At 41.5% G+C, this 24,971-nt stretch overlaps 2 long non-coding RNA genes and 1 pseudogene across 3 annotated transcripts in view, besides 2 other annotated features; 2 read left to right on the forward strand and 1 right to left on the reverse strand.

The window, feature by feature from the left end:
* LOC105372310 (uncharacterized) overlaps positions 1 to 7,743 on the reverse strand; it is a 148,126-nt gene extending 140,383 nt beyond the window's left edge. For both annotated transcript variants that reach the window (XR_007067164.1, XR_001754065.2), the window contains exon 1: positions 7,641 to 7,743. This is a non-coding gene — a long non-coding RNA (uncharacterized LOC105372310). The remainder of the gene's footprint in view (positions 1 to 7,640) is intronic.
* On the forward strand, positions 3,732 to 4,306 carry BNIP3P18 (BCL2 interacting protein 3 pseudogene 18; annotated as a pseudogene).
* A 4,348-nt stretch (positions 7,744 to 12,091) lies between the features above and the next one.
* On the forward strand, positions 12,092 to 20,670 carry LOC105372314 (uncharacterized). The gene is made up of 3 exons (XR_936407.3): positions 12,092 to 12,439; positions 13,521 to 13,598; positions 19,337 to 20,670. It is a non-coding gene; the product is annotated as an uncharacterized LOC105372314 (long non-coding RNA).
* Positions 21,721 to 22,296: an enhancer, noted in NCBI's record as "NANOG-H3K27ac hESC enhancer chr19:20396615-20397190 (GRCh37/hg19 assembly coordinates)". NCBI's record gives its function as "activates a minimal SCP1, AML or CMV promoter by ChIP-STARR-seq in primed H9 embryonic stem cells {active_cell/tissue: H9 hESC(primed)}" and the evidence as "EXISTENCE:reporter gene assay evidence [ECO:0000049][PMID:30033119]".
* Positions 23,659 to 24,645: an enhancer, noted in NCBI's record as "H3K27ac-H3K4me1 hESC enhancer chr19:20398553-20399539 (GRCh37/hg19 assembly coordinates)". NCBI's record gives its function as "activates a minimal SCP1, AML or CMV promoter by ChIP-STARR-seq in primed H9 embryonic stem cells {active_cell/tissue: H9 hESC(primed)}" and the evidence as "EXISTENCE:reporter gene assay evidence [ECO:0000049][PMID:30033119]".

The raw sequence follows: 24,971 nt of genomic DNA on the forward strand, positions 1-24,971 counted from the left end.
GGTGAAACCCCGTCTCTCTAAAAATACAAAAAATTAGCAGGGTGTGGTGGCAGACACCTGTAATCCCAGCTACTCAGGAGGCTAAGCCAGGAGAATTGCTTGAACCCAGGAGGTGGAGTTTGCAGTGAGCAGAGATTGCACCATTGCACTCCAGCCTGGGCAACAAGAGCAAAACTCCGTCGCAAAATAAATAAATACATATATAGGCTGGGTACAGTGGCTCTCGCCTGTAATCCCAGCACTTTGGGAGGCTGAGGTGGGAGGATCATGAGGTCAGGAGTTCAAGACCAGCCTGGCCAATATGGTGAAACCCCATCTCTACTAAAAATACAAAAGATAGTTGGGTATGGTGGCACGCATCTGTAGTCCCAGATATTCAGGAGGCTGAGGCAGGAGAATCACTTGAACCTGGGAAATGGAGGTGGCAGTGAGCCAAGATTGTGCCACTGCACACCAGCCTGGGCAACAGAGCAAGACTCCATCTCTCAAAAAAATAAAAAAATAAATAAAAATAAATAAATAATAAAAAAAAGGAAATAGAATGCTTGTGCGGTTTTTTAAAAAGCATACGCTATGCTGCCTACAAGAGATTCATTTAAGCATTGAGTCAAATAGGCTGAAAGTAACAGAATGAAAAAAATGTACATTCCATGAAAATAGTAACCACGATTGAGTGCAGTGGTCATAATTATATTAGACATAATATGCTTTAAGTCAGGTAGTACCATGAGACAAAGATTGACGTTATATTATGTTAAAGTGAGTTGATTTACCAGGAATCTATAACTATAATATTTACTTATCTATATATATATGTGTATATAACATCAGGGCTCCAAAATATATAAAGCAACTATTGACAAAAGTGAAGCAAGACATACATAGCAACATAATTGTAAACATCAAAACCCCATTTGCAATAATAAATAGAAAGTTTAGATAAAAAATAAGAAACAGAAAACCTAGACACCATTATAGACTATATTAATTATTTTGCATATAGATGAATATTTGAGAGTGCATAATTTATAAAGAAAAAAGGTTTAGATGGCTCACAGTTTGGCAAACTGTATAAGTGTGTGCCAGCATCTGCTTCTGGTGAGGATTTCAGGAAGCTTAAAATCATGGTGGAAGGTAAAGAGTAACTGGATATATTATATGGTAAGAGACAGAGCAAGTGTGAGGTGAAGAAGCCAGGTTCTTTTAATGAACCAGCTCTCATTTGAATTAATAGAGTGTAAACTTTTTGGTTACCAAGAGGATGTACCAAGCCATTCATGAAAAATTTGCCCCTATGACCCAAATGTGTCCCACCAGGTCCCACATTCAACATTGAGGATTTATATTGCAGCATGAGGTTTGGAAAACATGGACATCCAAACCATATTATAGACCAACTAGCGTTCGCAGACACACACAAAACTCCCCAGTCAAAACCAAGATAATGCACAATATTCTTATTTTCATCTGGTGTATTTTGTTAGGGCACATAGCAGGTTTTATTAAATTTTAAAATACTGACTGGGTACAGTGGCTCTTGCCTATAATCTTAACACTTTAGGAGACCAAGGTAAGAGGATCCACCAGGAATTATGAATATTTTTCAGATGGAAAAGACATGTTGAGTTAGAAGACACCTCTCAAATTTTTTTTTTTTTTTTTTTTTTTGGAGACGGAGTCTCGCTCTGTTGCCCAGGCTGGAGTGCAGTGCTGTGATCTCGGCTCACTGCAAGCTCCACCTCCCGGGTTCAGGCCATTCTCCTGCCTCAGCCTCCCAAGTAGCTGGGACTATAGGCGTCTGACACCTCACCCGGCTAATTTTTTGTACTTTTAGTAGAGAACAGGGTTTCACCATGTTAGCCAGGATGGTCTCGATCTCCTGACCTCATGATCCTCCCACCTCGGCCTCCCAAAGTGCTGGGATTACAGGCGGAGCCACCGCACCTGGCCACCTTTTTTTTTTTTTTTTGAGATGGAGTTTCGCTCTCGTTGCCCAGGCTGGAGTGCAGTGGCACGATCTTGGCTCACCGCAACCTCGGCCTCACAGGTTCAAGCAATTCTTCTGCCTCAGCCTCCCAAGTAGCTGGGATTACAGGCATGCACCACCACACCAGGCTAATTTTGTATTTTTAGTAGAGATGGGGTTTCTCCATGTTGAGGCTGATCTCAAACTCCTGACCTCAGGTGATCTGCCTGCCTCGGCCTCTGAAAGTACTGGGATTACAGGCATGAGCCACCACGCCCGGCCATACACTGTGTATTTTCTAACAAAAACTGAATTAAACTAGGAATTAAAAGCAAAAGTCAAACTGGAAAGTTCAAAAATATGTATATATAAAACACTTCAATATATTTTTGCTCAGGGGTCAAAAAATTTTATTTTTCAAAAATGTCAATACAACCTACCATTAAAAGATAATACAAAGTTGTTTGTCAGAAATGTTTATTTATTTACAGAAATAGCATTGATTATTGATTAGATATATATCGTTATGGTTTAGGGTATGGGATATAGTGTCCAATGTGGCATTATTAGTTTAATTTATAGCTACTTGTGGCAATAGTGAACAGTTTCAAGACATGAATACATAGTTCAAAGAGGGGAGAAATAACTGCACTTTTATTTTCATCTCTCTGAATTTGATAACCAAAAGGACTTGCATTTTTTAGATAAAAGTTTTTTATTTCCCAAATCTCAAGATCTAAATTCAAAATTTGGAGCTGCACATTTAGGGCCTGAATGGCTGGAGTAGCAGCAGGTGTTACCTGTACATTTGTGAGCACTTTGGCAAGAGGAGGAAGGGGAAAGTGGAGATTCTCATGTCTATATGTCTACTCAATGCACACACGTTACTCTGATTGGGTTTCTGGGCCAAATAGTTTCTGTATCAGTTCCAGTCTGAAGATACAAGAGTCAGTGAAAGAGGTAAAATGATTGATTGCTGCCCTGTGAAGTTTGTAGAAATGTGATCTAGCCTCTCTAGAAGTGACTGCAGAGGACTATGAATGCCAACTAGGCAGAGACACAATTCTGCCTGCATATTTAGGGGACAGCATGCACTTTGCTGCACAACTCTGAGCTGACTGGAAGCCTGAGAGGGAAAGTCTCCTCTAGAGTAAATTCTGGATGTCACCTTATGTGTTTATATCATGTCTGGTAATTCTAGACAGTGTTTGGAAACAATAATTAAATGAAAATTTTTCTCCACCCCAGAGAAACTCCACAATAATAGAATAGAAAGAAACTGTTTTATTACACAATTGAACTTGAATGTGACACGGATCTTCATCAATCTGCTTAAGAGACGGAAAGATGGTCACTATAATTAGGCCACAAGTAGAAGAATTTCCAGCACCATGTCATACATAGTTCATCCTAAATTCACCTGGATACTGAAGAGGCCATCTGTGTATGCTAATTACTTATATTCAATGACAAAAACTTTTCACATCTTCATAATAGGATGTAGTTTAGCAGCTTGAAGCCAGGTGCCTGCTGAAGGTAGGCTTTCACTCTGCTACAAAAATGGTTGAATAGTGTTCTATCTTTTTGGCTACTTACATTTTAGAGCAGTGGCTCTGTACTCCCTGGCACTGGGCTACAGCACTCCTGCTTGCTTTCTCCTGGTTGCTAGTGTCCTCTCTTGGCCTCTACCATCTGCCACTGAGGCACAAACCACAGCTCACATTTTATGTGAATCCTATTTGCCACAGCAGCACTCTAGTGTCACATCAGAGAGTGAGGCCTGAGCTGCAGGAGGAGAGCCTGCAGGCCTCCTGGGTAGAATTACACCTTCACAATCATGAGAATGTGAGCAGTGTTTCAGCGTCAATTTCTACGTATAGAGATGACAAGGAAAAGATAAAGCTGAATTTTCAGCATGAGTCCAGATAGTGATAGCTGCAAAAATTCTCATTGTGACAGCCCACCTTAATCTGACACCATGGGACACTAATAGGGCTTCTGAAACACACACCCAAAGCATTGGAGAGAAAAATGAGATCTTGATCTGAGCAAGATTATTTTCATAGAAAAATATTATAAAGATCTTAAGAAAAAGCTCAGATTAGATATGATTGATCAAGTCAGTCAAAAAATATTCCCCTAAAAGCAATTTCTCTCTAAACACCCAAAGTGCACAGCTACTCTCAGCATGAGAAACATGAGCTTCAGGAAGAAAGAAGGCAGATTTTCAGAAGAATTTTATAAAGTTTTTTTTCCATCTTTGGTGCTCTCTCATCTCCTAGCCAGTGAATGGAGTTCTATATTGAAATACATCTGACAACTTCCAACAACACTTTTTGATGAAGAAATAGAATCTGACTGTTTTCATAGAGTGGAATATATTAGAACTTGTAGGCTGGGCGTGGTGGCTCACGCCTGTAATCCCAGCACTTTGGGAGGCAGAGGTGGGTGGATCACGAGGTCAGGAGTTCAAGACCAGCCTGGCCAAGATGGTGAAACCCCATCTCTACTAAAAATACAAAAAAGTAGCCAGGCACGGTGGCAGGCGCCTGTAGTCCCAGCTACTCAGGAGGCTGAGGAAGGAGAATCATTTGAACCTGGAGGGTGGAGGTTGCAGTGAGCCGAGATCATGCCACTGCACTCCAGCCTGGGTGACAGAGTGAAACTCCATCTCAAAAAAAAAAATAAAAATAAAAGAACTTGTAACATAGTTAACTGAATAGCTATTATTGGTTTTGGGTGGCCACATCACCTGTCTTTATTTTTCCTGTAATAGCAGCATTCCAATTTAGTGCAATAAAAGATACTAAAGTTGTGTTAATTCATAATTATCCCTATTGAATAAAGTAATAAACATGTCACACTAATATCTACTGTAACAATTTGGTAGTAAATTTTCTTTGGATATTAGGTATAAGTATCTAAGTATGAATAATTTTAATGAACTAGTCATAATGTATGTAGCATTTTAAAAAATTGCAACTATAGCCAGGCACGGTGTCTCACATCTATAATCCCAGCACTTTGGGAGGCCTAAGCGTGCAGATCATGAGGTCAGGAGTTTGAGACCAGCTTGGCCTATATGGTGAAACCCTGTCTCTACTAAAAATACAAAAATTTTAGCCAGGCATGGTGGAGCCTGCCTGTGGTCCCAGCTACCCGGGAGGCTAAGGCAGAAGAATCGCTTGAACCCAGGAGGCAGAGGTTGCAGTGAGATGAGATTGCAGCACTGTGGTCTAGCCAGGACAAAAAAGTGAGACTCCGTCTAAAAAAAAAAAAAAAAAAAAAATTCAACTATACTTCAGTTAAAACACTATATTTCAAAAGTATAAATAACAATATTAAAATAACAACTTAAGTGATTCATTCAAAGTAAGTATTGTGGCTTTATATTCATATTATGTAGAAAATACTGTTTACAGGTCACGCCTGTAATCCCAGCACTTTGGAGGAGTGAGGCGGTTGGACCACCTGAGGTCGGGAGTTCAAGATCAAGCTGGCCAACATGAGACCCTCATCTATACTAAAAATACAAAAACTTAGCCAGGCATGGTGGCACATGCCTGTAATGCCAGGTACTTGAGAGGCTAAGGCAGGAGAGTCGCTTGAACCTGAGAGGCGGTGGTTTCAGTGATCCAAGATCATGCCACTGCACTCCAACCTGGACGACATGGTGAGACTCTGTCTCAAAAAAAATAAAATACTGTTTAATGTATATGAATGCAATTTGTTTACAAACCCTACACATAACTATGCTAATCGTTCTGAAGTAATAAATAGAAAGCAAGATACAACTACAGACTCTACTGTTCAGTTTATGCACTGAACTGTTTTTGCTTTCACCGTATAAGTCCTTCAGCCTGCAAATATTGGGTAATTACCTTGGATAATCAGATTTCTTTCAAAGAAACTTAGTATCTTTCAGTCTTTATCATTCTGTATTGCAAAATTTAATCCTATCTTTGTGCTAAGCATCTGTGTGCTCTTAAAATGAGCATTTATCTAAACCATCTGTGTCTACTTTAAAGGACTAAAAATGAAAAAGATAAACTTTTCAGAAGCAAAAAGAAAGCAAAAAACCTGAAGTACTAGATAAAGATAATCTGGAGTCTGAAAAAATGACTAAAGGTTTATTTAACTGTTAATATAATTTACATATATTTCAAAAAAGCAGAGAAAAATATCTACATATAATCAAAATGCCTTAAGAAAAGAGAGAATAGTAAAATAGCTTTTTGATACTTTTTAAAGAGTTTTTGAACTCTTGGACACCTGAATTTTGCACACTATATGCACTTAAGGTGATGCTTATGGGAGAAAAACACAAGAGAGAATGATGTTATAAAAAAATCCATGCATGCAAAAGACCTTTGCAACAGAATAGAGAGACCAGAAATAATGCCACCCTCCTACAACCATCAGATTTTTGTCAAACCTGACAAGAGAAAAGTGGGAAGAATTCTCTCTTTAATAAATGATGCTGGAATAACTACCTAGCACTATGTAGAAGACAGAAACTGGACCCCTTCATTACACCATATACAAAAATCAGCTCAAGATAAATTAAAGACTTAAATGTAAAACTTAAAATTATAAGAAACCCTGCAATATAACCTAAAAAATACTGTTCTAGACATAGAAACTGGCAAAGACTTCATGATGAAGCTTCCAAAAGCTATTGCCACAAAAGCAAAAATTGACAAATGGGACCTATTTAAACTAAAGAGCTTCTTCACAGCAAAGGAAACTATCAACAGAGTAAAGAGACAACCTACAGAATAAAAGAAAATATTTGCAAACTTTGCCTCTGACAAAGGATTAATATCCAGAATTTATTAAGAGCTCAAACAAGTTTACAAGAAAAAAAACAAACAACCTCATTAAAAAGTAGAAAAAAAATGAACATATTCTTTTCAAAAGAAGACAAATGTGCAGTTAACAAGCATGTGAAAAAAATGCTCATTGCTAATTATTAGAGAAATTAAAAGAAAAACCACAATGAGATACTGCATCATACCCATCAGAATGGCTATTTTTTAAATGTCAAAAAATAACAGATGCTGGCAAGGTTGCAGAGAAAAGGGAATGCTTATACTCTGCTGGTGGGAGTGTAAATTAGTTCAACAGCTGTAAAAAGCAGTGTGGTGATTCCTCACAGAATTAAAAACAGAATTATCATTTGACTCAGGAACCTCATAATTGGGTATATACCCAAAGAAATATAAATTATTATAAAGACATATCCACATGCATGTTTATTGCAGCACTATTCACAATAGCAAAGGCATGGACGGGTCCTGAATGGCTATCTATGATAGACTGGATAAGGAAAATGTGGTATGGTCAGATGCGGTGGCTCACGCCTGTAATTGCAGCACTTTGGGAGGCTGAGGCAGGTGGATCACACGGTCAGGCGTTTGAGAGCAGCCTGGCCAACATAATGAAACCCTGTATCTACTAAAAATACAAAAAATTAGCCAGGTGTCGTGGCAGGCACCTGTAATCCCAGCTACTCACGAGGCTGAGGCAAGAGAGTCACTTGAACCCAGGAGGCAGAGGTTGCAGTGAGCCGAGATCACGCCAGTGTACTCCAACCGAGGTGACAGTGTGAGACTTTGTCAAAAAAAAAAAAACAAAGAAGAAGAAATTAAAAAAAAAGAAAAACGAACTGGACCTTTAATAACTTCCTCTTTCTGGCTTAATATTAGCCTTAGCTTGGAGTCTCTTGGTTAAAACTTTAATTTCCATGTCAGAGGTATTCACTTGGTGTTGAAACTAACTGAAAAATCCGGTGAAACTACTCAAAGTGTTTACATAAGGGAAGGAAATTTAAAGTGCTCACTTTTTTTTAATGGTTTTTTTTTTTGAGATGGAGTCTCTCTCTGTCACCCAGGCTGGAGTGCAATGGCACAATCTCAGCTCACTGCAGCCTCCACCTCCCGTGTTCAAGCCATTCTCCTGCCTCAGTCTTCCAAGTAGCTGGGACTACAGTCATGCGCCACCACACTCGGCTAATTTTTGTAATTTTAGTAGAGACGGGGTTTCGCCATGTTGGGCAGGCTGGTCTCAAACTCCTGACCTTAAGTGATCAAACCGCCTAGGCTTCCCAAAGTGTTGGGATTACAGTTATGAGCCAGTGTACCTGGCTAAGATGCTTACATTTTATTCCTCCATAAGAAAAGCAAATATATCTACTTCTTTCAGACAATATATGTATTATTTTATTATTTCTATTAAAAATAATGTAGTAAAAAATTAGTCATATGAGAAAACTTGTAGAAGATACCATGTTTCATCACATATAATTTAGCATTTAATTCAGAAATCAAGACAACATGATATAGAACTGAGATATTCACTGTCACAAATTTACCCTGCAAAAAGAGGAACTGATGTTTTGACAAGTCTATGTAACTCATCAATTATCTACCACATTTTCCTGTGGAAATATGTTTATTGTCTACAGTCAAAACAGAAGAGAGATTTTCTTTCTTTCTTTTTTTTTTTTTTTTATGGAGTCTATCTCTGTTGCCCAGGCTGGAGTGCAGTGGTGTGATCTTGGCTCACGGCAACCTCCACCTCCCAGGTTCAAGCAATTCTCTGCCTCAGCCTCCCAAGTAGCTGAGATTACAGGTGCCTGCCATCGCGCCTGGATAATTTTTGTATTTTTAGTAGAGACAGGGTTTCACTGTCTTGGACAGGCTGGTGTTGAAATCTTGACCTTGTGATGCATCCGCCTCGTCCTCCCAAAGTGCTAGGATTACCGGCATGAGCCACTGCGCTTGGCTGATAGCTAGCATTCTTAAAGCTAAGGCTTGGAATTCTGTTTGAAATCACTCAGCCATAGAAAACACCTGGCCAGGCATGGGGGCTCATGCCTGTAATCTCAGCACTTTGGGAGGCTGAGGCAGGCAGATCACGAGGTCAGGAGTTCGAGACCAGCATGACCAACATGGTGAAACCTGTCTCTACTAAAAATTAAAAAATTAGCCGGGCATGGTGGCATGGTACCTGTAATTTCAGCTACTCAAAAGGCTGAGGCAGGAGATTCCCTTGAACCCGGGTGGCAAAGCTGAGATCATGCCACTTGTTGGGGTGATCAGACCCAATACCAGACCATTGTGGCTATGAAGTCCAGTGGAGTCAAAGGAATGAGAAAAGACAGGTTAAGAGTACATAAGGTGGGTCCAGAGGGCCAAAGCTAGTATGGAAACTGTGAGGGCCCCAAGCTTTGGAAGCCCACACTATTTATTGGTGATCAAACAAAGAAGCAGGTGGTGAGGATGTGTGGATGTGGGGGTAAACAGGTGAGGACATAAGGACGTGAGGGTAGAAAGGTAACAGTGCATCAAGTGTAGCTGTGACGGTTTAGCATTTTCTTTGACACATAAAGAGTATGCTCTGCTGCTTGAGATAATGGAGAACATATTTATGAGCCTGGGAGAGCAACCAACAAGTCTGTGCACATTCTAGAGGCCACGAGGGGTTTTATGCCCTGAGCCTTGGATTCCATCCAAGCCGTGAGGGGTTTTATGCCCTGGGCTCAGATTTGTGTTTTGTCAGGGCAGCCTTCCACCATTTGGCACAGAGTTTGATGTTCCAAAGGCCATGAGGGATTTTAGACCCTGGACCCAGGACATCTTCCAAGACTCTTTTATATTATGACAGACAAGCCAGTCCTGCCTCAGCTCTTCTACCAACACCACTGCACTTCAGCCTGGTTGACAGAGCTAGACTCCATCTCAAACAAAAACAAACAATCAAACAGAAAAACACCTGAAAATATTCCTAAGGTTACTCTGGGAAAGAAAAAGGTAAATAAGAATTATTAACTAATAGAATATATGATTAAATACTAATTTTTGAAACTCATCTCTATTATGTCTTTTGTAAATATTTTCTTATTTTTCAGCCCCTACTAATAAAATGCAAATCACAGTAAAAAATACTGATACAGCTCAGTGCAGTGGCTCATGCCTGTAATCACAACACTTTGGGGGCCAAGGCAGGGAGATCACTTCACACCAGAAGTTTTGGAGCAGCCTGGTCCCTCTCTACTAAAAACACAAAAACTAGCCAGGCAAAGTGTTGTGCACCTAGCTACTTGGGAGGCCAAGGAATGAGAATCACTTGAACCCAGGAGGGGGAGGTTGCAGTGAGCCGAGATCAAGCCACTGCATTGCAGCCTGTGTAACAGAGTGAAACCGTCAAAAAAAAAAAAAAAAAAAAAAAAAACCCGAAAAAACGAAAAAACCTGAGGTCAAAATAAGTAAAGAAATCTTTTCAATGTACAGACCCAATCATCCAACCCATCCTGTTCACTTACATGCTCAATAACCACCCTCCCAGGAGACACTGCTCTATGCCCCAGTGAGTGCCCCAGGTGCATTTTACTTTGTTTTTATGCCATCTCACTGGGGTCAGTTTTTTTGTCTTTTGGAATTTTTTATTTTTATTACAAAATTTTCACTGTTTTTATTTCACTGTTTTTCTGCCCCCACTCAAGAAAATCCAGGGGGCAGAAATTATTTGTTTTGCCCTCAATACCAGCATTTGATTGGCTGACCAGCAATGTGTATCCAAAAAATGGAAGCTAGGTTGGGTGAAGAAAATCTTCATGTCTCAAGGGGTTAGCTTTAAAAAAAGAAAAAGAAAAATAAAAACAAACATGCACCAGGAGATGCCTTTCACCTCCAAGGCTGCCACCTGCTCCCTTGAGAGGCTACACTCCATACTTCAGGTGGTTCTATGGGAGAAAATGACCCAAGAGACAATAGTCACTAGACACATAGCCATAGCCATAGTGGGTATCTTGGTTTATCCCCAGAAAGTACTAAAACCCAGGCCCAGAAAAAAAAAACTGAAGGATAGCTGAGGACACATCACCCTATGAAGTTTCCAAAGGGTAATCTTAACCTAAAAACATTCTGGTAAGTTCTCTGGAAAAAAAAAAGCAAAAGAGGGACAGATATTTTTACAATACAGTGTCAGGGGATTATTCTTTGCTTTCTTCTCAGGGAAAATATTTACAAACAGAAAAAAATCTCTTCAATACTGTTATGCCATGCTTTGTATAAAATGATTAATTGAGGAACATGGGGTACACTTGAGGCGCTGCTTGGGGCACATGTGAAAAATGCCAGGAAAAATCAGTCCCCTGTGGGATGTGAAAATAATTAAGTGGCAGGCAATTAGACTGAGGATGCTCTAGTACCCAGATTCCTACTTCTAAAAAAAAAAAAATCTAAACTCAAGTGCATTTTTTGGTAAATTACTACATTAGGGGAACAAAATTCAAGCTTAAACAACTATAAACTACCACTTAAACTCTGATTAAATAACCAGGGAATTTCCACCTTGATTGTACCAATTAAGAAACTACGTAACTGCATCTAACCAATTATTGAATTTGGTTTTCTTCTTCATGCACCTTATAAATGTCTTTTCTTCAAGACCCTCCCACGGAGAACAAACTACAAACTATAGCTAGCTGGTCTACAATTCTTGAATCTCTCTTTTTGAGGCTGGGCACGGTGGCTCAAGCCTGTAATCCCAGCCCTTTGGGAGGCTGAGGCGGGCAGATCACAAGGTCAGGAGATCGAGACCATCCTGGCTAACACGGTGAAACTGCCTCTCTACTAAAAATACAAAAAATTAGCCAGGCACGGTGGCAGGAGCCTGTAGTCCCAGCTATTCAGGAGGCTGAGGCAGGAGAATGGTGTGAACCCAGGAGATGGAGCTTGCAGTGAGCCGAGATTGCGCCACTGCACTCCAGCCTGGGTGACAGAGCGAGACTCCGTCTCAAAAAAAAAAAATTATTTGATATTTTTACAGTGACTCCCAAAATTTTTTTTTTAAGACAGACTCTTGCTCTGTCGCCCAGGCTGGAGTGCAGTGGCATGATCTCAGCTGACAACAACCTCGGCCTCCCAGGTTCAAGCCATTCTCTTTTCTCTGCCTCCCGAGTACCTAGGACTACAGACATTCGCCATCACACCCAGCTAATTTTTGTATTTTTAGGAGAGATGGGGTTTCCCCATTTTGTCCAAGCTGGTCTTCAACTCCTGACCTCAAGTGATCTGCCCCCCTCAGCCTCCCCTAGTCCCCACACAATCTGGGAGAGATGCCACACTGCGGGTGCAGAGTCACCTGGAGAGGGCTCCAGGCCAGGGCACAGTCACTGAGCAGGGAAGAGAAAGGACGGCCGGGAGCCCAGCTGTCAGCATAGCGGCCATCTTATGGCTGAAGGGTACTGAGGCTGAGCTGGGCAAGGAGAACTCGGAAAGCAGATTGTGGAGCTGACTATGGGGAGGCCTGGGTCCTGCCACAGCCATTTTCCTGCCAAGGGAGGCTGTGACTGAGCGGGCTACCCAGCCTGGGAAACTGCTTTTTCCATGGAACTGTGCAACCCACAGTTCAGAAGATTCCACTTGTGAACCCTTGCCACTGGAGCCTGAGATCTGAACCCTGGAGGTGAGCAATTCTCAACAGCCTCTCTCCTAGAATCTGCTTAAGCCTGCCAAGATCCCGGGGGAGGGGTGTGGGGAAAAGAGAGATCAGACTGCTACTGTGTCTATGTAGAAAGAAGTAGACATGAGACTCCATTTTGTTCTGTACTAAGAGAAATTCTTCTGCCTTGAGATGCTGTTAATCTGTAACCCTAGCCCCAACCCTATGCTTCCTGAGACATGTGCTGTGTTGACTCAAGGTTTAATGGATTTAGGGCTATGCAGGATGAGCTTTGTTAAAAAAGTGCTTAAAGGCAGTATGCTTGTTAAAAGTCATCACCATTCTCTAATCTCGAGTACCCAGGGACACAATACACTATGGAAGTTGGCAGGGATCTCTGCCTAGGAAAGTCAGGTATTGTCCAAGGTTTCTCCTCATATAATAGCCTGAGTTATTGCCTCATGGGAAGGGAAAGACCTGACCATCCCCCAGCCTGACCCCCATAAAGGGTCTGTGCTGAGGAGGATTAGTAAAAGAGGAAGGCCTCTTTGCAGTTGAGACAAGAGGAAGGCATCTGTCTCCTGCTTGTCCCTGGGAATGGAATGTCTTGGTGTAAAACCTGATCACACATTCTATTTACTGAGATAGGAGAAAACTGCCTTATGGCTGGAGGTGAGATGTGCTGGCGGCAGTACTGCTCCTTAATGCACTGAGATGTTTGTGTAAAGTCAAACATAAATCTGGCCTACGTGCACATCAACGCACAGTGTCTTTCCTTAACTTATTTATGACACAGAGATCTTTTCTCACGTGTTTTCCTGCTGACCCTCTTCCCACCATTACCCTATAGTCCTGCCACATCCCCCTCTCTGAGATGGTAGAGATAGTGATCAATAAATACTGAGGGAACTCAGAGACCAGTGCCAGCGCGGGTCCTCTGTATGTTGAGTGCCGGTCCCCTGGGCCCACTGTTCTTTCTCTATACTTTGTCTCTGTGTCTTATTTCTTTTCTCAGTCTCTCATCCCACTTGATGAGAAACACCCACAGGTTTGGAGGGGCAGGACACCCCTTCATCTGGTGCCCAATGTGGGTGCTTTTCTTTAGGTTGAAGGTATGCCAGAGCGTGGTCATTGAGGACAAGTTGATGAGAGATTCCCGAGTACATCTATGGTCAGCCTTGCGGTAAGCTTGTGCGCTCAGAAGAACCTAGGGTAACAATGGGATAAACTGAAAGTAAATATGCCTCTTAGCTTTATTAAAATTCTTTTAAGAAGAGGGGGAGTTAGAGTCTCTACAGAAAATCTAATCACGCTACTTCAAACAATAGAACAATTCTGCCCATGGTTTCCAGAACAGGGAACTTTAGATCTAAAAGATTGGGAAAAAATTGGCAAAGAATTAAACAAGCAAGTAGGGAGGGTAAAATCATCCCACTTACAGTATGGAATGATTGGGCCCTTATTAAAGCAGCTTTAGAACTGTTTCAAACAGGAGAAGATAGTTTCAGTTTCTGATGCCCCTGAAAGCTGTGTAATAGATTGTGAAGAAGAGGCAGGGATAGAATCCTAGAAAGGAACGGAAAGTTCACATTGTAAATATGTAGCAGAGTCTGTAATGACTCAGTCAATGCAAAATGTTGACTACAGTCAATTACAGGAGGTAATATATCCTGAAACATTAGAATTAGAAGAAAAAGGTCCAGAATTAGTGGGGCCATCAGAGTCTAAACCATGATGGCCAACTCCTCTTCCAGCAGTTCAGATGCCTGTAACATTACAACCTCAAATGCAGGTTAGACAAGTACAAACCTGAAGAGAATAACAAATAGAGAAAGATAGAGTATCTGTCACAGCAATGCCAATCCAAATACAGTATCCACAATATCAGCTGGTAGAAAATAAGACCCAACTGCCAGTAGCCTATCAATACTGGCCGCCAGCCGAACTTCAGTATTGGCCGCCCCTAGAAAATCAGCATGGACAGCCAGGAATGTTTCCAGCACCACAGGGCAGGGCACTATATCCGCAGCCTCCCACTATGAGACTTAATCCTACATCACCACCTAGTAGACAGGGTGGTGCATTACATAAAATTATTAAAGCAAGAAAACAAGGAGATATCGAGGCGTGGCAGTTCCCAGTAATATTAGAGCCGATACCACCTGAAGAAGGGGCCCAAGAGGGAGAGCCTCCCCTAGCTGAGGCCAGATATGAGTCCTTTTCTATAAAAATGCTAAAAGATGTGAAAGAGGGAGTAAAAAGTATGGACTCAACTCCCCTTATTTGAGGACATTATTAAATTCCATTGCTCATGGACATAGACTCATTCCTTTTGATTGGGAGATTTTGGCCAAATCATCACTCTCACCCTCTATCTTTTACAATTTAAGACTTTGTGGATTGATGGGGTACAAGAACAGGTCCAAAAAAATAGGGCTGCCAATCCTCCAGTTAACATAAATGCAGATCAACTATTAGGAACAGGTCAAAATTGGAGCACTACTAATCAACAAGCAATAATGCAAAATGAGGCCATTGAGCAAGTTAGAGCTATCTGCCTTAGGGCCTGGGAAAAAAATCCAAGACCCAGGAACCACTTGCCCCTCATTCAGTACTATAAGACAAGGCTCTAAAGAGCCCTACCCTGATTTTGTGGCAAGGCTCCAAGATGCTGCTCAAAAGTCAATTACCGGTGAAAATGCCCATAAGGTCATAGTGGAGTTGATGGCATATGAAAACACCAATCCTGAGTGTCAATCAGCCATTAAGCCATTAAAAGGAAAAGTCCCAGCAGGATCAGATGTAATCTCAGAGTATGTAAAATCCTGTGATGGAATTGGAGGAGCTATGCATAAAGCTATGCTTATGGCTCAAGCAGTAATGGGAGTTGCTTTAGGAGGACAATATTTGGGGGAAATATTATAATTGTGGTCAAATTGGTCATGTAAGAAAGAATTGCCCAGTCTCAAATAAACAAAATATAACAACTCAAGCTACTACAACAACAGATAAAGAGCCACCTGGCCTATGTCCAAGATGTAAAAAAGGAAAACATTGGGCTAATCAATGTCATTCTAAAGTTGATAAAAATGGGCAACCATTGTCGGGAAATGAGAAGAGGGGCCAGCCTCAGGCCCCGCAAAAAACGGGGCGTTCCCAGTTCAGCCCTTTGTTCCTCAGGGTTTTCAGGGTCAACAATGCCCACTGTCACAAGTGCCTCAGGGAATGAGCCAGTTACCACAATACAACAATTGTTCCCCACCACAAGTGGCAGTGCAGCAGTAGATTTATGTACCATACAAGCAGTCTCTCTGCTTCCAGGGGAGCCCCCACAAAAAAATCCCCACAGGGGTATATGGCCCACTGCCTGAGGGGACTGTAGGACTAATCTTAGGAAGATCAAGTCTAAATCTAAAGGGAGTTCAAATTCATACTGGTGTGGTTGATTCAGACTACCAAGGCGAAATTCAATTGGTTATTAGCCCTTCAATTCCTTGGAGTGCCAGTCCAGGAGACAGAATTGCTCAATTATTACTCCTGCCTTATATTAAGGTTGGAAATAGTGAGATAAAAAGAACAAGAGGGTTGGGAAGCACTGATCCAACAGGAAAGGCTGCATATTGGGCAAGTCAGGTCTCAGAGAGCGGACCGGTGTGTAAGGCCATTATTCAAAGAAAATAGTTTGAAGGGTTAGTAGACACTGGAGCAGATGTCTCTATCATTGCTTTAAATCAGTGGCCAAAAAATTGGCCTAAACAAAAGACTGTTACAGGACTCATCGGCGTAGGCACAGCCTCAGAAGTGTATCAAAGTACTATGATTTTACATTGTTTAGGGTCAGATAATCAAGAACGTACTGTTCAGCCAATGATTACTTCGGTTCCTGTTAATCTGTGGGGTTGAGATTTATTACAACACTGGGATGCAGAAATCACTATGCCCACTCCATTATACAGCCCCATGAATCAAAAAATCATGACTAAGATGGGATATGTACCAGGAGAGGGACTAGGAAAAAATGAAAATGGCATGAAAGTCCCAATTGAGACTGAGAGAAATCAAGAAAGAAAAGGAATAGGGTATCCTTCTTAGGGGTGGCCACTGTAGAACCTCCTAAACCCATTCCATTAACTTGGAAAACAGAAAAACTGGTATGAGTAAATCAGTGGCCACTACCAAAACAAAAACTGGAGGCTTTGCATTTATTAGCAAAGGAACAATTAGAAAAGGGACATACTGAGCCTTCATTCTCTCCTTGGAATTCTCCTGTGTTTGTAATTCAGAAAAAATCTGGCAGATGGCATATGTTAACTGACTTAAGAGCCATAAATGCCATAATTCAACCCATGGGGCCTCTCCAACCTGCATTGCCCTCTCCGGCCATGATCCCAAAAGACTGGCCTTTAATTATAATTGATCTGAAAGATCGCTTTTTTACCATTCCTCTGGCAGAGCAGGATTGTGAAAAATTTGCCTTTACTATACCAGCCATAAATAGTAAAGAACTAGCCACCAGGTTGCAGTGGAAAGTGTTACCTCAGGGAATGCTTAATAGTCCAACTATTTGTCAGAATTTCATAGGTCAAACTCTTCAACCAGTTAGAGACAAGTTTTCAGACTGTTATATCATTCATTATGTTGATGATATTTTATGTGCTGTAGAAACGAGAGACAGATTAATTTATTGTTATACATTTCTGCAAGCAGAGGTTGCCAACACAGGACTGACAATAACATCTGATAAGATTCAAACCTCTACTCCTTTTCATTATTTAGGGATGCAGATAGAAAATAGAAAAATTAAGCCACAAGAAATAGAAATAAGAAAAGACACATTAAAAACATTAAATGACTTTCAAAAATTGCTAGGAGATATTAATTGGATTTGGCCAACTCTAGGCATTCCTACTTATGGCATGTCAAATTTGTTTTCTATCTTAAGAGGAGACCCAGACTTAAACAGTAAAAGAATATTAACCCCAGAGGCAACAAAAGAAATTAAATTAGTGAAAGAAAAAGTTCAGTTGCACAAATAAATAGAATAGATCCCTTAGCCCCACTCCAGCTTTTGATTTTTGCTACTGCACATTCTCCAACAGGCATCATTGTTCAAAATACTGATCTTGTGGAGGGGTCATTCCTTCCCCACAGTACAATTAAGACTTTTACATTGTACTTGGATCAAATAGCTACATTAATTGGTCAGGCAAGATTACAAATAATAAAATTGTGTGGAAATACCCAGACAAAATGGTTGTCCCTTTAAACAAGGAACAAGTTAGACAAGCCTTTATCAATTCTGGTGCATGGCAGATTGGTCTTGCTGATTTTGTTGGAATTATTGATCATCATTACACAAAAACAAAAATCTTCCAGTTTTTAAAACTGACTACTTGGATTTTACCTAAAATTACCAGACATAAACCTTTAGAAAATGCTCTGACAGTGTTTGCTGATGGTTCCAGCAATGGAAAGGCAGCTTACACAGGGCCAAAAGAGTGAGTAATCAAAACTCAGTATCAATCGGCTCAAAGAGCTGAGTTGGTTGTAGTCATTATAGTGTTACAAGATTTTAATCAACCTATTAATATTGTATCAGATTCTGCATATGTAGTACAGGCTACAAGGGGTGTTGAGATAGCTCTAATTAAATATAGCCTGGATGATCAGTTAAACCAGCTGTTCAATTTATTACAACAAACTGTAAGAAAAAGAAATTTCCCATTTATATTACTCATATTTGAGCACACACTAATTTACCAGGGCCTTTAACTAAAGCAAATGAACAAGCTGACTTCCTAGTATCATCTGCATTCATAAAAGCACAAGCACTTTGTGCTTTGACTCATGTAAATACAGCAGGATTAAAAAACAAATTTGATGTCACATGGAAACAGGCAAAAAATACTGTATGACATTGCACCCAGTGTCAAGTCCTACACCTGCCCACTCAAGAGGCAGGAGTTAATCCCAGAGGTCTCTGTCCTAATGCGTTATGGCAAATGGATGTCACACATGTACCTTCATTTGGAAGATTATCATGTGTTCATGTAACGGTTGATACTTATTCACATTTCATAAGGGCAACCTGCCAGACAGGAAACAGTACTTCCCATGTTAAAAAACATTTATTGCCAGGCGCGGTGGCTCATGCCTGTAATCCCAGTACTTTCGAAGGCCAAGGCGGGTGAATCACCTGAGGTCAGGAGTTCGAGACCAGCCTCAACATGGAGAAACTCTGTCTGTACTAAAAATACAAAATTAGCCAGGTGTGGTGGTACATGCCTGTAATCCCAGCTACTTGGGAGGCTGAGGCAGGAGAATTGCTTGAACCTGGGAGGCAGAGGTTGCGGTGAGCCGAGATCGTGCCATTGCACTCCAGCCTGGGCAACAAGAGTGAAACTCCGTCTCAAAAAAAAAAAAAAAAAAATTATTATCTTGTTTTGCTGTAATGGGAATTCCAAAAAAAAAAAAAAAAAAAAAAATTAAAACTGACAGTGGGCCAGAATACTGTTTTTAAGCTTTCCAAAAATTCTTAAATCAGTGGAAAATTATACATACAACAGGAATTCCCTATAATTCCCAAGGATAGGCCATAGTTGAAAGAAGAAATAGAACACTCAAAACTCAATTGGTTAAACAAAAAGAAGGGGGAGACAGTAAGGAGTGTACCACTCCTCAGATGCAACTTAATCTAGCATTCTATACTTCAAATTTTTTAAACATTTATAGAAATCAGACTACTACTTCTGCAGAACAACATCTTACTGGTAAAAAGAATAGCCCACATGAAGGAAAACTGATTTGATGGAAAGACAACAAAAATAAGACATGGGAAATAGGGAAGGTGGTAACGTGGGGGAGAGGTTTTGCTTGTGTTTCACCAGGAGAAAATCAGCTTCCTGTTTGGATACCCACTAGACATTTGATTCTACAATGAACCCATCGGAGATGCAAAGGAAAGCACCTCCACGGAGACGGAAACACCGCAATTGAACACCATTGACTCATAAGATGAAGAAAAAGGTCATGTCAGAAGAACAGATGAAGTTGCCATCCACCAAGAAGACAGAGCCGCCGACTTGGGCACAATTAAAGAAGGTGACACCGTTAGCTAAAAAAAAGCCTGGAGAACACAAAGGTGACACAAACTCCAAAGGGTATGCTGCTTGCAGCTTTGATGATTGTATCAATGGTGGTAAGTCTCCCCATTCCTGCAGGAGCAGCTGTGGCTAATTATACCTACTGGGCCTGTGTGCTTTTCCCGCCCTTAATTCAGGCAGTCACCTGGATGGATAATCCTATTGAAGTATATGTTAATAATGGTGTATGGGTACATGGCCCTACAGATGATCGTTGCCCTGCCAAACCCAAGGAAGAAGGAATGATGATAAATATCTCCACTGGATATCGTTATCCTCCTATTTGCCTAGGGAGAGCACTAGGATGTTTAATGCCTGCAATCCAAAATTGGTTGGTACAAGTACCTACTGTCAGTACCATCAGTAGATTCACTTATCACATGGTAAGGGGAATGTCACTCAGGCCATGGGTAAATTATTTACAGGACTTTTCTTATCAAAGGTCATTAAAATTTAGGCCTAAAGGGAAACATTGCCCCAAGGAAATTCCCAAAGGATCAAAAGACATAGAAGTTTTAGTTTGGGAAGAATGTGTGGCCAAGAGTGCAGTGATATTACAAAATGATGAATTCAGAACTATTATAGATTGGGCAACTCAAGGTCAATTCTAACACAATTGCACAGGACAAACTCAATCATGTCCCAGTGCACAAGTGAGTCCAGCTGTTGATAGTGACTTAACAGGAAGTTTAGACGAACATAAGCATAAAAAATTACAGTCTTTCTACACTTGGGAATGGGGAGAAAAAGGAATCTCTACTTTGATTGGACTTCAGCGAAGACTCCAAGATGGCAATCGCCACCTCGGATACCCTAACTCAGCATTTCCGGGTTCACCTTTCCTGTTCCCACCACCCCGACTAACGCACATGCCCACTAGGGCGTGTCACACTCAGAAGTGTGAAACTCAACCGATCCCGCCCCTACCCCGACCACTCCTCACCCAGCATCCATAAAAGCGCGCTGCACCTTTCGCACAGCGTGACTTCCCCTGGCGGACCAGTGAACCTCACCGGAGAGCTCAATAAAGAAGATTTTTGCCCTCTTTGTCTTGCCTCTTGGCCTTATTGATCCACGGTGCCTTTCCATTGCCTTTCATACTCCAAGACCAAAAATAATAAGTCCTGTTTCTGGTCCTGAACATCCAGAATTACAGAGGCTTACTGTAGCCTCATACCACATTAGAATTTGGTCTGGAAATCAAACTGTAGAAACAAGAGATCGTAAGCCATTTTATACTATCGACCTAAATTCCAGTCTAACAGCTCCTTTACAAAGTTGTGTAAAGCCCCCTTATATGCTAGTTGTAGGAAATATAGTTATTAAACCAGACCCCCAAACTATAACCTGTGAAAATTGCAGATTGTTTACTAGCATTGATTCAACTTTTAATTGGCAGCACCGTATTCTGCTAGTGAGAGCAAGAGAAGGTGTGTGGATCCCTGTGTCCATGGACCGACTGCGGGTGGCCTCGCCATCCGTCTGTATTTTGACTGAGGTATTAAAAGACATTTTAAATAGATCCAAAAGATTCATTTTTACTTTAATTGCAGTGATTATGGGGTGGCAAAAGAATTCTACAAGATTGTGGAATTCACAATCTGGTATTGATCAAAAATTAGCAAATCAAATTAATGATTTTAGACAAACTGTCATTTGGATGGGAGATAGGCTTATGAGCTTAGAACATCATTTCCAGTTACAGTGTGAATGGAATACTTCAGATTTTTGTATTACACCCCGAGTTTATAATGAGTCTGAGCATCACTGGGACATGGTTAGACGCCATCTACAAGGAAAAGAAGATAATCTCACTTTAGACATTTCCAAATTAAAAGAACAAATTTTTGAAGCATCAAAAGCCCATTTAAATTTGGTACCGGGAACTGAGGCAATCATGGGAGTTGCTGACTGCCTCTCAAATCTTAACCCTGTCACTTGGGTTAAGACCATCAGAAGTACTACTATTATAAATTTCATATTAATCCTTGTGTGCCTGTTCTGTCTGTTGTTAGTCTGCAGGTGTACCCAGCAGCTCCAAAGAGACAGGGACCATCAAGAACGGGCCATGATAACGATGGTGGTTTTGTCAAAAATAAAAGGGGGAAGTGTGGGGAAAAGAAAGAGAGATGAGACTGTTACTATGTCTATGTAGAAAGAAGTAGACATAAGAGACTCCATTTTGTTCTGTACTAAGAGAAATTCTTCTGCCTTGAGATGCTGTTAATCTGTAACCCTAGCCTCAACCCTGTCCTTGCAGAGACAAGTGCTGTGTTGATTCAAGGTTTAATGGATTTAGGGCTGTGCAGGATTACTTTGTTAAACAAGTGCTTGAAGGCAGCATGCTTGTTGAAAGTCATCACCATTCTCTAATCTGAAGTACCCAGGGACACAATACACTGCGGAAGCCCGCAGGGATCCCTGCCTAGGAAAGCCAGGTATTGTCCAAGGGTTCTCCCCATGTGATAGTCTGAAATATGGCCTTGTGGGAAGGGAAAGACTTGACCATCCCCCAGCCCGACACCCATAAAGGGTCTGTGCCGAGGAGGATTAGTAAAAGAGGAAGGCCTCTTTGCAGTTGAGATAAGAGGAAGGCATCTGTCCCTGGGCAATGGAATGTCTTGGTGTAAAACCCAATGGTATATTGTATTTACTGAGATAGGAGAAAACCGCCTTAGGGCTGGAGGTGAGACGTGCTAGCGGCAATACTCCTCTTCAATGCACCAAGATGTTTATATACGTGCACATCAAGGCACAGCATCTTTCCTTAAAATTATTTATGACACAGAGACCTTTGTTCACATGTTTTCCTGCTGACCCTCTCCCCACCATTACCCTATTGTCCTGCCACATCCCCTCTCCAAGATGATAGAGATAATGATCAATAAATACTGAGGGAAGTCAGAGACCAGTGCTGGCGCAGGTCCTCCATATGTTGAGTGCCAGTCCCCTGGGCCCACTTTTCTTTCTCTATACTTTGTCTCTGTGTCTCTTTCTTTTCTCAGTCTCTTGTCCCACCTAACGAGAAACACCCACAGGTGTGGAGGGGCTGGCCACCCCTTTAGCTGTGTGATAGATAAGTAAAAACAGCACCATCTAATTCATAATGGGAAGGGTGTTTCTTTCCATAAGCTGTTCCTAGAGTACACAAAGGATGGAGAATTTTACCAATCACAAATATTTTCCTGGATTATCTATCCATTTTATATTTCCCCATGTATTTTCTTTGTTCTATGCATTTCTTCCATTTGGCTTTTCCTGGGGTGCATCCTATATATTAAACCAGTAAACATAACTACAGTGTTTTTCTGAGTTCTGTGAGTAGCTCTACCAAATTACTGAACTTCAGGGAGGTTTTGGGAGTCTCCAGTTTTCAAACAGTGTGTCAGAAGTATAAATGGGCCCATGGGGTTTGTGACTGGCATCTGCAGTGAGGACAAGGTTGTGGGACTGAGCCCTGAATCAGGGTCTGTGCTGACTCTGGGTGGTGTCAGAATTCAAATGTAAGACAATGAGCTGGTGTTGAAGAATTGTTTGATGTTCAGCAAACTACAGATTTTGTGCCAGAAAAAGCATATCATGGAGGCCTGGCCTGGAACAAAACTCTGAGTGTCTGGGAATGGGAGGCTCTGCTCTCCTGCACACAGGCTGTCACGCTGCCCGTTGTCCTGTGATTCCAGCTCTTCTCCCAGGGTGACAGAGGACTGAAACTTACAGGAAAGGAGCTCTGATGACAGACCCCTTTTCTTTCAACTGCATCCACAGGATTCCCACTCACTCACAAACATACATACTAGACATTGATGTGTCCGCACTCCTCCCAGGACTAGGCACCACCCTCAGGAACTTCACCATGGCATTTTTGATCCAAATGTTTCTTGCCAAGAACTCACAAGTGTCTACAAGTCTCCTGTCATATCCTCACTCCCAGACATTGAGCCTTGAGCAGCAACCTGTTTTCTCCACCAACCTAAGGTTCTGGACCTCCTGTTTATAATCTCATCTGCCTGCATTCACACAGAAATAAATCAGAGTACAGCCCCACCTGGGCCACTAGCTGCAGTGAAAATCAGTCCATTCACCTACATTGCACTCTATCCCATGCAGGGATTTTGTTTTTTTCTTTTAGCTTTTATTTTTGGTTCTGTGTACACATGTGGGATATACAGCTAAAATTATGTCATGGGGGTTTGGTGTGCAGATTATTTTGTCACTGAGGTACTACCCGTAGCACCAAACAGGTCTGTTTTCTCATCCTCTTAGTCCTCCCACCGTCTACCCTCATCTAGGCCTCAGTGTCTGTTGTTCTCCTCTTTGTGTTTTTGTGTTCTTATTACTTAACTCTTACTTATAAATAATAACATGCATTTGGTTTTCACTTTCTGCATTAGTTTTCTTTTATGTTTTTGTTTTGTTTTGATTTTTGAGACAGAGTTTTGCTCTTGTTACCCGGGCTAGAGTGCGATAGTGCAATCTTGACTTACTGCAACCTTAGCCTCCCAGGTTCAAGCAATTCTCGTGCCTCAGCCTCTTAAGTTGCTGGGATTACAGGTGCATGCCACTACCCCTGGCTAATTTTGTATTTTTAGTAAAGACAGGGTTTTTCCATGTTAGTCAGGCTGGTCTTAAACTCCCAACCTCAGGTGATTACCCCGCCTCGGCCTCCCAAAGTGCTGGGATTACAGGTGTGAGCCACCGCTCCCAGCCTCTGAATTAGTTTTCTGAGAATAATGGTCTCTAGCTTCATTGATGTTATTGGAAAGGACATGATCGTTTTGTTTTTTAATAGACACAGAGTTTTCCATGATGTTTATGTACCATATTTTGTTTTTACTAAATCTTTTATTTTATTTTACTTTTTTGAGGTAGGGTCTCGCTTATTGCCCAGGCTACAGTGTCATGGCATGATATTGGCTTACTTCAGGGTCAAGCAATTCTCTCCTATCTCATCCTCACAAGTAGCTGTGAGTTCACATGTGCGTTACCACGTCTGGCCAATTTTTCTTTTTTTTTTTTTGAGGTGGAGTTTCACTCTGTTGCACTCCGTTGGAGTGCAGTGATGCGATCTCGGCTCACTGCAAGCCCCGCCTCCCGGGTTCATGACATTCTCCTGCTTCAGCCTCCAGAGTAGCTGGGACTACAGGCTCCCGCCACCACGCCCAGCTAATTTTTTGTATTTTTAGTAGAAACGGGGTTTCACCGTGTTAGCGAGGATGGTCTTGATCGCCTGACCTCGTGATCTGCCTGCCTTGGCCTCCCAAAGTGCTGGGATGACAGGCATGAGCCACTGCGCCTGATCAATTTTTCTTTTTGTATTTTCCGTGGACACAGGATTTTGCCATGTTGCCCAGGCTGGTCTCAAACTTCTAAGCTCTGGCAATCCACCTGCCTTGGCCTCCCAAAGTACTGGGATT

Source organism: Homo sapiens, chromosome 19, assembly GCF_000001405.40.
Source record: "Homo sapiens chromosome 19, GRCh38.p14 Primary Assembly".
NCBI lineage: Eukaryota > Metazoa > Chordata > Mammalia > Primates > Hominidae > Homo > Homo sapiens.